The following is a 13098-nucleotide window of genomic DNA, read 5'->3' as shown; positions in this document are numbered from 1 at the left end:
TTCCTATTTCTCCACATCCTCTCCAGCATCTGTTGTTTCCTGACTTTTTAATGATCGCCATTCTAACTGGCATGAGCTGGTATCTCATTGTGGTTTTGATTTGTATTTCTCTAATGACCAGCAATGATGAGCATTTTTTCATATGTCTGTTGGCAGCATAAATGTCTTCTTTTGAAAAGTGTCTGTTCATATCCTTTGCCCACTTTTTGATGGGGTTGTTTGCTTTTTTCTTGTAAATTTGTTTAACTTCTTTGTAGATTCTGGATATTAGCCCTTTGTCAGATGGGTAGATTGCAAAAATTTTCTCCCATTCTGTAGGTTGCCTGTTCACTCTGCTGATAGTTTCTTTTGCTGTGCAGAAGCTCTTTAGTTTAATTAGGTCCCATCTGTCAATTTTGGCTTTTGTTGCCATTGCTTTTGGTGTTTTAGTCATGAGGTCTTTGCCCATGCTTATGTACTAAATGCTATTGCCTAGGTTTTCTTCTAGGGTTTTTATGATTTCAGTTCTAACATTTAAGTCTTTAATCCATCTTGAGTTAACTTTTGTATAAGGTGTAAGGAAGGGATCCAGTTTCAACTTTCTACATATGGCTAGCCAGTTTTCCTAGCACCATTTATTATATAGGGAATCCTTTCCCCATTGCTTGTTTCTGTCAGGTCTGTCAAAGATCAGATGGTTGTAGATGTGTGGTGTTATTTCTGAGGCCTCTGTTCTGTTCCATTGTTCTGTATCTCTGTTTTTCTGCCAGTACCATGCTGTTTTGGTTACTGTAGCCTTGTAGTATAGTTTGAAGTCAGGTAGCATGATGCCTCCAGCTTTGTTCTTTTTATTTAGGATTGTCTTGGCTATAGGGGCTCATTTTTGGTTCCATATGCAATTTAAAGTATTTTTTTCCAATTCTGTGAAGAAAGTTAGTGGTAGCTTGATGGGGATGGCATTGAACCTATAAATTACTTTGGGCAGTATGGGAAAATGGCCTAAATTTTTTAAGCCCTCTCCAACCCATACACTTATCCACTGGCAGAGGTAGACGGCTTCCAGACTCTAGTGTTTGAGCAAAACCTTTGCCAATCACTGGCTAACCATGAAACTATACAGACATGGGCAACTTCCCAGAAGCCAGTATTAAAATAAAAATTTGAATGGAAAAAAAAAAAAAAAACACTTGAGCAGAGAAATCAGTGGCTACACAGCACAGGGGAGGTAAATTCTGCAGATTACGTTCAGACAAGTTACCTAAAAAGAAGTACAGGAAACAAAAAAGAAAAAACCCTACAAGAAAAAATTGTAAATCCAGAGTTGCTACAATACATTATCTATGAGGTTCAGTTTTCAATAAAATAGTTCAAAACATGCAAAGAAACAGGAAAGTGTGATACATATTTGGGAGGAAAAGCAGTTAACATAAATTGACTTTGAGGTGAACTTAGCAAAGACTTCAAATTCATTATTATAGATATGTCCAAAGAATTAAAGACAACCATGTTTAAAGAATTAAAGTAAAATATAATGACTACAAAAAAAGGAGAATCTTGATAAAGAAACAAAACCAAACATATAAACAAAAGACAAACAGAAATTCTAGAGTTAAAAAGTACAGTAACCAAAACCAACAAATCACTACAGGGGCAACAGCGGTTATGAGATGACAGATGAATCAGAGAACTTACAGGCAGCTCAATACAAATTATCCACTTTGTAAGAAAAAACGGAAAAAAAAAAAGACTACAGAAAAATAAACAGAGCAGCAGAGACCACCACAGGGTGGAATCAGTGTTAAGGATAAACATATAGACCAATGAAACAAGAAAGTCAGGAAATAAACTCTTATATTTATGGTCAATTAATTTTTGACAAAGATGTCATGGTAATTCAGTGGGTGGAGAATAGTCTTCAACAAATGATGCAGGAACAACTGGATACCCACATGCAAAGCAAAGAATGAAGACCCTTACCGTATACCACACATAAAAAAATTAACTCAAAATGGACCTAAACATAAAGCTTAAAAACTATAAAACTTCTAACAGAAAACAGAAAAAAATATCTGTGACCTTTGAGTTAGGCAAAGAATTTTTACATATAACACCAAAAACACTATCCATAAAAGAAAAACCACACTACTATATACCGCTAGAACAACTATAATCAAAGAGACTGATAATACAAATATTGGCGAAAATATGAAAAACTGGAACCTTCAAATATTGTTGATGAAAATGTAAATTAATACACAAACTTTGGAAAAAAGTTGGCAGCTTCTTAAACAGTTCATGTTACCATATGATCCAGCAATTCCACTCTTTGAAATCTACCCAAGATAAATGAAAACATATGCATATGCCCATCCAATGACTTGCATTTAAATGTTCTTCAAAATGGAAACAATCTAAATGCCCATAAAGAAGTTATCTCATGCTATACAGTTATCACAGTTTTGTTCTCTTTGAACTTGGAAAACATTCTTAAATGACTCTTTACTTAATTATCTATTTAAAAACAAGGCCAGGTGCAGTAGCTCATGCCCATAATCCCAGCACTTTCGGAGGCTGAGGCAGAAGGATTGCTTGAGCTCAGGAGTTTGAGACCCTGTCTATCCTAAATATCAAAAAAGTTAGCCAGGTCTGGTAGCATGCACCTACTGTCCCAGCTACTCGGGAGGCTGGGGCAGAAGAATTGTTTGAGCCTGGGAGACAAAGGCTGCAGTGAGCTATCACAGCACCACTGCACTTCAGCCTTGGTGCAGAGCAAGACCCTGTCTCAAAAAATAAATAAATAAATAAACAAACAACAAAGTTTTCCAGTGAAAATTCCTGATAGAATAAAAGCATTTAATTGCTTGCTAATTCCCTGTGAAGACCCTCCATTTTTGGAGCATATTTCTCATTCAAAGTTGGCTTATTTAAGAGTTCAACCTGCTAATGAAACTGTTGGAAAACTAGTCCATACCTGTCCCTAATTTCTGAATTACATGTGAAGGAATAGGGCACTGACGACTCTCACGACCATAGTGCTTCTCAGAGGAATACCGACGGATTATTAATCTCACTGTATGAGGCTTCCTTCCATCTTGGCATACTCTAAAAATAAAGAGAAAGTGGAAATAAGGAATTAGAAAAGTATTACCTTTTTAAATTATGTAACATCTCATTTATCTAAAGGTGCCAGATTTTGTTAAATATGACAATTATACATATAGCAGATAACAAAATAGTAAGCAATAAAGGTCCCTGAGTATCCAAATAATCATCACAAAGTCTATGCACTAAAACTCTGAATGTTTAGATGTCAAGCTCTCAGGCCTCACTCAGAATTGAGTGCTGTCAGAAATAGAAGAGATATAAGATACAATCATAACAAACTGTTTTATAATACAGATCCAAAACAAAACTAAAAGCAACCAATTTTTTTTTTTTTGAGATGGAGTCTCACTCTGTTGCCCAGGCTGGAATGTGGTGGCACAATCTCAGCTCACTGCAACCTTCACCTCCCAGGTTCAAGCAATTCTCCTGCCTCAGCCTCCTGAGTAGCTGGGACTACAGGCATGTGTGACCACACCTGGCTAATTTTTGTATTTTTAGTAGAGAGGTGGTTTTGCCATGTTGGCCAGGCTGGTCTCGAACTCCTGACCTCAGGTGATCCCCCCACCTCAGCCTCCCAAAATGCTGGGATTACAGACGTAAGCCAACACACCTAACCAAAAGGCAACAAATTAAAATCAGCAGGAAATTTAAGAAACTGAATCATTCACTGACAAAAGCAAATAAGTGAAAAATAACAAAAGAACTTTTTTCAAACTTTTTTCTTACGAGATTACCAAAAAAAAGATTTTTTTTTACAAAATGACATTACTTTTGTTAAAGAGTAATCACTATTACCATTATATGATAGCTTATTAGAGCAATATCTTAAAAGAGCATATACTATATTTAGTATATAATTAATATACAATATGAGTACATGCATTTTTTAGAAGAGTTTCATGCAAATGTCTTGGTTTTGGTGTTGAAACAAAGGTTTTAGTGATATGACAAATTCACTTAAGTAGTACTGGAAAAAATGTCATTAAAGGATAACATTTCCCTTTTTATACACATGGCAATGCATATAAAACCAAATCTCAAACATAAAATGCAAGTATTGCACATTGTTAAACACACTCAACTTGAAGATTCTGATCTGAAAAAAATAGTTCTGGGCCAGGCACGGTGCCTCGTACCTGTAATCCCAACACTTTGGGAAGTTGAGGTGGGAGGATCACTTGAGCCCAGGAGTTCAAGACCAGCCTGGGCAACATAGCAAGACCTCATCTACAAAAATTTAAAAATTAGCTAGGCTTGATGGCAGGTGCCTTCCCAGCTATTCTGGCGGTTGAGGTGGGAGGATTGCTTGAGCCCAGGAGGCTGAGGCTGCAGTGAGCCCTAACTGCACTACTGCCATCCAGCCTGGGTGACAGAGCAAGACCCTATCGCAAAAACATAAAAAATTAAATAGTTCTGTAGTAAATAATTTTTTCTATCTCTTACTGCTTTGTGACAAAACTTCTCGATGGCTGCTTAACTAGGATAAAATACCTTAAATGGTTACTAGTTTAAATATCTTCCAGTTAAACGTGTTATATTAATTATGCAATTCAAAGAGTATGATATGCTAATTAAGACACATTAGAAAAAGGCTGTATCGTAAGCAATCTTAAACTAGTGCCTAGAGGATGGATTAAAAATAATACGGTTTTACATTTCTTACATACCTATAGTATTAATCATAACATACTCTAGAGAAAACAAAACTAATTATACACAAATACACACACACACACACACACACACACACACACACTCCTGTAATTTTTTTTTTTGCAAGTCACTTAGATGGTGTTATAATTCAGTCACTGAAATAAGGGCCCGTGGTGTGGGAGAAAAGGAGCCGGGAAGCAGAGATACAGACAAATGGTTAATTTCACAGGTTTTGTATGTCACAGGTTTAGAGCACCTGGTCTCACTTCTGGGTTGACTCTTCAAATAAGAGAACCTGTAAAACTTATACTTCTTGTGGTTTTTCTATGTGAAGAACTGTCTCCAAAGGTTAGGCATTTCAGGGTAGTCTTCTATTTAGCTGAAGCAAATGACCCAGTTTCACTAGCATACTCGCAGGCCCAGCCTGAGTCATATCACGGGAGGCCAGTCATACAGCCAGCCCCAGCTGCATGCAGCCAACAATGAGCTGCATGGCTCTGCTCAAGACATTTGAGTGCCACATTGCACACGACAGCAAAGTTGGAGGAAATTTCACTTCTTCAGTTTTCTCAGACTTAGAACCAACCAAAAACCATTTTCTCTAAATACAGTTAGTCCTCCTAGAATCATTAGAGAAGCACACCTACTCTAAACTGTTAGAGCCCTGAAACCACAATTTGAGAAATTTCTAACAAGAAGAGGAGAAACAAAGAAATGGGACGAAAACAGATAATACTCATCTGTGGAATATGGAATATTGAGAAATACATGTATAATGACAAGGAGCACCACAAAATTAAATTTCCTTTTCAGTTTATCTTGTACTACTCATATATTTATAACCCCAGTTGATACTCTTTACATACAGATCAGAAACCCTGCACACACCTGCAGTCACTCACCCTACTCACACACAGCGCCAGCTAGCCATTCTTTCCTTCGACTCCATTTTATTTTACAGTCTGAGGCAAAAGAGATACAAGGGTTCTTCTGCTTCTTCCATCACTGTTACTTTAATAATTTCCTATCCTCAACAATCACAAATTTATATAGTTGTTCCTGTATCAGGAGTTTTAGAATTATGACAGTATTATTCCTCTTTGCATTTTTTTCTTCTTAATGAAATGCAAGTAACTATTAGCAGAGGCACAGATAAATGGTTAATTTCACGGGTTTTGTATTTCGCATGTATTTGTATTTAGCATGGTACTAACTTAATGAAATGCAACTAACTATTAGGTTGAGGGCAGAGGCTTTGCAATTGCCACAGGGAAAAATTAAAACTTCTTCTTCTCACCTGAAGACCAGAATAAGTCTAGAAATGTTAGAAATATCCATAAAACCCCTTTAGGTAACTATCTGCAGCTTTAGATCCATAGCATAACCACAGTGTTAACAGAATTAAGACCAATGAATTCAATTTAGGTAAGACCCCCTATTACCATCTTTACAACAGTTTATAAAGCAGAGAAATCCCATGATAAATTATTTTTACATTGTTTAGTCTCCAGATAATCTGTCAGTTCCAAGATGGAACATCAAATATTCTTTCCACATACCGTATATAGAATGAATACATAGGATGACTTGGCAAAATGGATTGAAAATCACCTGTTTAAAAGACTAGCAAGTAGTTCTTCAATCTTATTTTTAGCTTCAACTTCAGATGAACATTTTTTAAATGAATCTTCTTCACTAAAGGACTATCAAAGAAGCATAAATAAGGATTAGCACAAACTCAAATAACTATATCTAATTATTATCAGTGTACAGTCAAATAAATATTCAATACATTCTTCACTAACTTACCTCTTGTCCTTAGTTTGAGCCATTTAGTTCACTTTTATATTAACAGTTTTTTATCTGCAAGCTATTGTACTCACTAGAAAGTTAATATAAAATATTACTGTATTAACAGTTAATATAAAACAGTTAATATAAAATAATTCAAAGTTATGAAAACTCTAAAGCTCTAGTACCAACTCCAAGCTTTATTGTATGATTATGGCAAGAGTTCTTAATCACCTAGGACTTGAATCTAAGTTTATCCTTGGACAAGTTATTTAACCTTTCTAAAGTACGGTATCCTCATCTTGAGAGAGAGAGAATGGAAGGAAGGAAGGAAAGAAGAGAAGTAAGAAGGAATGGACAAACAACAGTACTACCTACCTTGATGCTTTGTTGTGAAGATTAAATGGACTAACATATTTAAAGCACTCAGTAAAGTGCTTGTCCCATAGCAAAAAAATCAGTCAATGTTAACTGGGTGATTATACCTTTCCCATTTGCTAAATCACTGGACTACTCTGAAAACAAGATTTTTAACAGATTAAAATATTTTGCCTCATATATGCATTATAGGCTATTAAAATTAAGTTGCACTGTCTTCAATCATAGTAGCTAACTTAAGATATCAAAATATCAATGCTTAAGATTCCATTTAAGAATACTTATTAATCCAATCTATTAATAATAAATCAGCCTTCTAATAGGAAAGGGATCACATACTAAGCAAACTAGAATAGTAAGAACATGGTACTAAAACTAGAAATCTTTATCTCAAATAATGTGATAACCAGTACTTAATTAAAATAAGTATCATCATGTACCTGAGGTGGTCCTGAGAGTATCACAGGGGAGTTATCCTCTCCAAAACTGAGCTTTTGGATACGCTGAGCAACTGAAATTCCTAATTCTTTTTCTAAAATTTTGGGTGAAAAGGTTTGGAGATCACGCACACTATTGATACCCAGTGCTTCAAGACATTTGGCAGTTTTATAGCCAATACCTAAATAAAAAGAAATGCATACAATGTTAAAATAGCTTTTCTCCTTAAAACAAAGCTAATTAAAATATTATAAATATATCAATCTTATCTTTAAGTTCTATAATTTATACAGTAGTCCCCCCTTATCCACAGGGGATACATTCTAAGACCTTCAGTGGATGCCTGAAACCATGGACAGTATCAAACCCTATATATACAGTACTGTTTTTCCCATTACATATATACCTATGATAAAGTTTAATTTATAAATTAGGCACAGTAAGAGATTAACAATAATAATAAAACAGAACTATAACAATATACAATATACAAGTTATGTGAATGTGGTCTCTGCCTCTCTCTCTCAAAATATCTTATTATTTTCAGACCACAGTTGACTGCAGGTAATAGAAACTGTGAAAAGTGAAACTGCAGATAATGGGGGACTACTGTATTTTGCAAAGATCAAACCCCATTGCAAACTAGGTTGCTGTTCTTCCACTCAGGGCTCCTGAATTATATGCACCTCTTTGAAGTCCTCACAAAATGCAGTAAAATAAAATGAATACAGAGACAGCCAATAAATGCTGTCTTACTAAAACAAAAATTTTACCACCTGTTATGTAATATTCCAGAAATATTCAGAAATCATGATTATTATTAATATACAAAAAGGCTGCCACTAGAGCAATTAAAATAAATTAAGTGTACATATTAGGTAACCTAACTGATTCCTATACGCACCACCACACATTTATCCATAAGTCATATCTAACATTTACCATCCAGAATACAACTATGAGCCAGAAAGCAAACAAACAAAAAATCTTGCTAGCAAAACTGTCACAAAGTTCTTGCACTAAAATTCGGTCATACTTTATTCACAAGAGAAAACAGGCTATTTAATGTCTCCTTATTCTTTTCATTCAAAAACAGTAATTCCACAGTTATCTGGTTTTCTTGCACAGTAAAAGCAGTAAGTTGGAGGAGATGGCTATGTAGGGGGAACTATTAAAGTAGAGTGACAGATTTTTCACAGCAGAAAAAAAAGAAGGTTGGCAATTTGGCAATAAGTGAGAAAGGAGAAAGCCTGTTAAAAAAAAAAAAAAAAGATACAAGAACTCGAAAGTAAAGCCAAGTAAGAATGTTTTGCACCAGTATATAGTCCTCAGTTTATTACAACCTGACATTGTTCTTCAGAATGCACTACCAAAGTCATCCAAAAAACTTCAAATTATAGTTATACTATACTAAGGAAGGCAAGGCAGTGTATAATACATTTTGGAATCACGCAAGTATCAGTTAAAAATGTGAAGTATGACATCTAAGTTTCAGTGGTATTAGAAATTCACTTCCACAGAACTCTTTTATAACATCTTATTCCCTAGCAATACCACAGAAATGTAGTTCAACATATTGATGGCCTATAAAAACTTGGGTATTTAATCTTCAAAGATACAAACTTGCCCCATGACCTAAATAGGTCACCGAACTCCTCATGGAAATCAGTTTCCTAATCTTTAAAATGAGGACCTTGGCCTAGATGTTTTGGAAAGTCCATTGTAGCCTTAATATTTTATATGTAATCCCAAAAGAGTTAGTAAAAGACGAACTCCCCTCTCTAGAGGCAATGTACAGTATAAGAGTATGACCCAGGGACTGGAAATAAAGGACCATATGTTTCTAGGCTATAACTTTCATGACCATATTCTAACCATACAAAAGTAGATAAAATAAGAAAAGTACCTTCACATATTTCTTAATCCAAATTTGCTTGAGAAAACATTACAGTTTTTCTTAGTTTTTTCCAGGAACCAAGTATACACACACACACACATGCACACAAACTCACAGACAACTCTACCTAAGAATTAATTACATTGTATCTATAATTTTTTAAATTAAAAGAAATAAAATAAGACGTATATGTACTTTTCAAATATATTTGTCTTACCAGGTATTTCCTTTATGTGATTCAAACTATGAATAAGATGTTGACAACTTTCAGGTAATAAGACTGTTTGTTGATTTGGTTTAAAGACACCAGAAACTAATTTTGCCAACAGTTTATTAGAAGCCACTCCAGCACAGCCAGTGAGCCCCAACTGATTATACATGGCTTCCCGCATCTCTGCTGCAATCTGAGATCCAACAAGTAGTCTGATGTGCAAGACGTCAAGCAGGTTTATAGCTTTAAAAACAACAAATGTCATTCAAAGTCACAAGAAAAACCTTTTTCTTTTTCACAAAATAATTTTTAAAAGGTAGAGGGCTTAGTCTATATCCAACAACCACCACCACCACAACCACCACCATCATCACCTGGTATGGTTGTGATATTTGTCCCCTCCAAACCTCATGTTGTAATTTGATCCCCAGTGTTGGAGGTGGGGTCAAATGGGAGGTGTTGGGATCACAGGGGTGGATCCCTCATGAATAGATTAAAGCCCTCCCTCAGGGGTAAGTTTCTGACTGTATTAGTTCCAAAGACAGCTGGTTGTTAAAAGAGCCTGGCACCTCCCCCAGCCCTTGCTTCCTCTCTCACCATGTGATCTCTGCACACACTGGCTCCCTTTTGCCTTCCACCATGAGTGGAAACAGCCTGAGGCCCTCACCAGAGGCCTAACCTTGACTTTTCCAGCCACAAGAATCATGAACCAAATAAACCTTTTTTTCTTTATAAATTACCCAGTCTCAGGTATTCTGTTAAAGCAACACTAAATGGACTAAGAGATCACTGCCACCCTGTTATCCACTTGACTAATCTCTTTCATGCTTCATAGGAATACTGTAAACAAATTCAATAAGCAAATTCCAAGGGCCTGTGATAGTGACTGTGTAGTGGGAGTGCTTAATAATTAACACATTGTGAAAACTGATCTCATAAAAAAATTCCTACTGACATTGGCAAAACTTTTACTCATATTTACCCGTAAGTAGGCATAGAAGTATTATTATATAACAAGAAAGCTAACATTATACTTTAAAGATCTAAATCTTAACCACGCACTAGCAGTATATGCTGCTAGAAACAATCTCTGACCTGTACACAGTTTTAGAGCTCTTTTATGAAAAGTGTAAGAAAATTATATAAAAATAAATTTGCTTTAGGTGTAAAACAGTGTTGGAATGACATGAAACCATCCTAACCTCAAAGAGACTAACGCTAAAAGTATTTAGAGATGAAATGTCAGGATGTCTGCAATTTACTTCCAAATAGCTCATCAACCAACCAAGCAATCCATAGAGAGAACAAGAGAAAGCAAATGTGGCAAAACGATAACAACTGGTTTATCTACAAGAAAGGACATAATGGGCCAGGAGTAGTGGCTCATGCCTATAATCCCAGCACTTTGGGAGGCCAAGGCAAGCGGATCATCTGAGATTAGGAGTTCAAGACCAGCCTGGCCAACATGGTGAAACCCCGTCTCTACTAAAAATAAAAAAATTAGCCGGGTGTAGTGGCACATGCCTGTAGTCCCAGCTAGTCGGGAGGCTGAAGCAGGAGAATTGCTTGAACCCAGGAGGTGGAGGTTGCAGTGAGCCGAGATCACATCACTGCACTCCGGCCTGGGCGACAGAGTGAGACTCTGTCTCAAAAAAAAAAAAAAAAAAAGAAAAGACATAATGGGTATTTTTTGTACTATTCTGTCAACTTTTCTGTAGGTTTACAAAAAATTTTAATAAAATCTGTATGAAAGAGGAAGAATTAATCAATAATTCCACATTTCCCTTTTTGGGATATAAAACCTAGCTCTCTATAATGTACTCTAACCAATAAAATCCAAGTTTGCCTTAAAAATTATACAGAAATATATTTGAAATATTCTTGCTAGTTAGCCCTTTTAAGTTACAAATGAGCACAAGTACAAAAGATACAGGAAAAGCTCCATGTATTCTAGAAACTGTGGTTCTACTGCTTTTCTTCTGTGGAGAACTATTCTGTAGACCGATGTCTAGTTCTCAAAAAAGAGGATAAGAGGAAATGCATGGGGAGGCTTAAGAGCAAAAGGGTCAGACAAGTCTTACACAACAGCAGAGTACCTTGTCTTGTATGTGGTATGATAGGGGAGTCACCAGCAGAGTCATAAGATGTCTGAAAGCCTAATCAGATATTCACTGGTGCTTACTGCAGCTTATTTTCAAATGTAAATATCACTGGAAACACCATCAGTCATTCATATCTCAATATATGAAGGAGACAAACCATTCTGCTTTCTTGCTAACTTTGACAAAGATTATTTGAACAGATTAAATAGGAGCTTGGAGAAGATTCTAGCACATGGCAGATAGCCCTGGACAACATTCCAAAAGTGCTAACTTGGGAATTCAGAGAGCAACATGAGGGTCTCAGGGGAATCGAAGTGAACATGTAAAACACACATCAAAGGGGAATCGAAGGGAACATGTAAAAGACACATCAAAGGCAAATCTAGCCTACCTGAAAACTCTGCTTAGAGATTGTTTTAGAATAATAAAAAATTATTCCAAAAAGCATATTAAGAAGCCAACTCTTACAACTTAAGAATGACCTACAGAGGTATGGCTTTTTGTTTCCTTAAGAGATGGGATCTTGCTCTGTTGCCTAGGCTGGACTCAAACTCCTGGGTTCAAGCAATCTTCTCAGCTCAGTCTCCCAAACAGCTGGGACTACAGGGGCGCTCCACTGTGCCCAGCTGGGTATGGCTTTCTAAAATGGGAACCAATGCACTGTGTCAGACGAAAACTCTGCACAGATGAATGCTCTGTGCAGATGAACAGGAACAATGCTCTGTGCAAATGAAAAGTGCACAGAGCATTGAGCTACATGTCATCAAAATCTTAACACTTATTATGGAATAGCAGCACCTAATTTTAGCTGTCCTAGACAGATTACTGACTAAATATAACTATACCTCCAACAAAAGTCATGAATCTTTCAGAATCACACAGCGAACTCACTGAACATTAAGAAATGTATGTACTTTTGGTTAGTAGGTAGAATGAATAAGAACCCACTCACACTGATTATTGTATACATGACCCGACACAGTCACCGCAGAAAGTTCATCACTTTGCAGCTGCTGTAGTCTCTTCTCAACCATTTCTGTTAGATCCACAAAATTTTCATCAAATCCAAGTCTCTCAACAACTGGACTAAATTCTTCCAGTAATTCTAAATTGAAATAATATTGGAGCACAAATGTAAATGAAGTTATAACTAGGATAAATTTAACTATCTAGTGCTTAAAAATTTATCAAATTTATTGTTAAAGGTTTTATATACATTCATAGTTCCATAATATCTTTAATAAAGCCCTCAGTTAATTGACGTTTTTTCTGTACCACATCTTGTATAAAGGCAATATTTTCAAAAAAGTCTAAAAATGACATTCCTAGGGCAGTTATTCATGGCAATATATCTAGCTCAATCTTCTACACCTATAATTTTTATATCTGTAGTACATTAAATATCAATGCTTATAGTAAATTGGTGACCTTGAAGAAATGTGTCAAAGAATAAACTATAGGCTGCTCAGGAAAGTTAAAAACAAGTAATAGTATATTTTAGCTATATTTTCTCCAAGAGTTTAAAAGAGGCAAAACAAAATAAT

At 35.8% G+C, this 13098-nt stretch overlaps 1 protein-coding gene across 18 annotated transcripts in view, besides 1 other annotated feature; it reads right to left on the bottom strand.

Annotated features, from left to right (window-relative positions):
• Positions 1–13098, bottom strand: part of POLI (DNA polymerase iota) — a 51788-nt gene that overhangs the window by 30905 nt on the left and 7785 nt on the right. For 11 of the 18 annotated variants that reach the window (NM_001351621.1, XM_011525797.2, XM_005258192.5 and 8 more), the window contains 5 exons: positions 12507–12659; positions 9459–9695; positions 7347–7525; positions 6349–6440; positions 2951–3081 (listed from right to left, as the gene is read on the bottom strand). In NM_001351621.1, the coding sequence (NP_001338550.1) occupies positions 2951–3081; positions 6349–6440; positions 7347–7525; positions 9459–9695; positions 12507–12659 (792 nt within the window). Of the gene's footprint in view, positions 1–2950; positions 3082–6348; positions 6441–6546; positions 6620–7346; positions 7526–9458; positions 9696–12506; positions 12660–13098 lie in introns of all 18 variants that reach the window. The other 7 variants (NM_001351619.2, NM_001351618.2, NM_001351617.2 and 4 more) reach the window with 4 other exon arrangements.
• Positions 4963–5152: an enhancer, noted in NCBI's record as "active region_13348". NCBI's record gives its function as "activates an Ori minimal core promoter by ATAC-STARR-seq in GM12878 lymphoblastoid cells {active_cell/tissue: GM12878}" and the evidence as "EXISTENCE:reporter gene assay evidence [ECO:0000049][PMID:35858748]".

The sequence above is a fragment of the Homo sapiens genome, chromosome 18 (assembly GCF_000001405.40).
Source record: "Homo sapiens chromosome 18, GRCh38.p14 Primary Assembly".
Lineage (NCBI taxonomy): Eukaryota > Metazoa > Chordata > Mammalia > Primates > Hominidae > Homo > Homo sapiens.
Note: the sequence above shows the minus strand (reverse complement) of the source record. Positions and strands in the feature narration are given on the sequence as shown.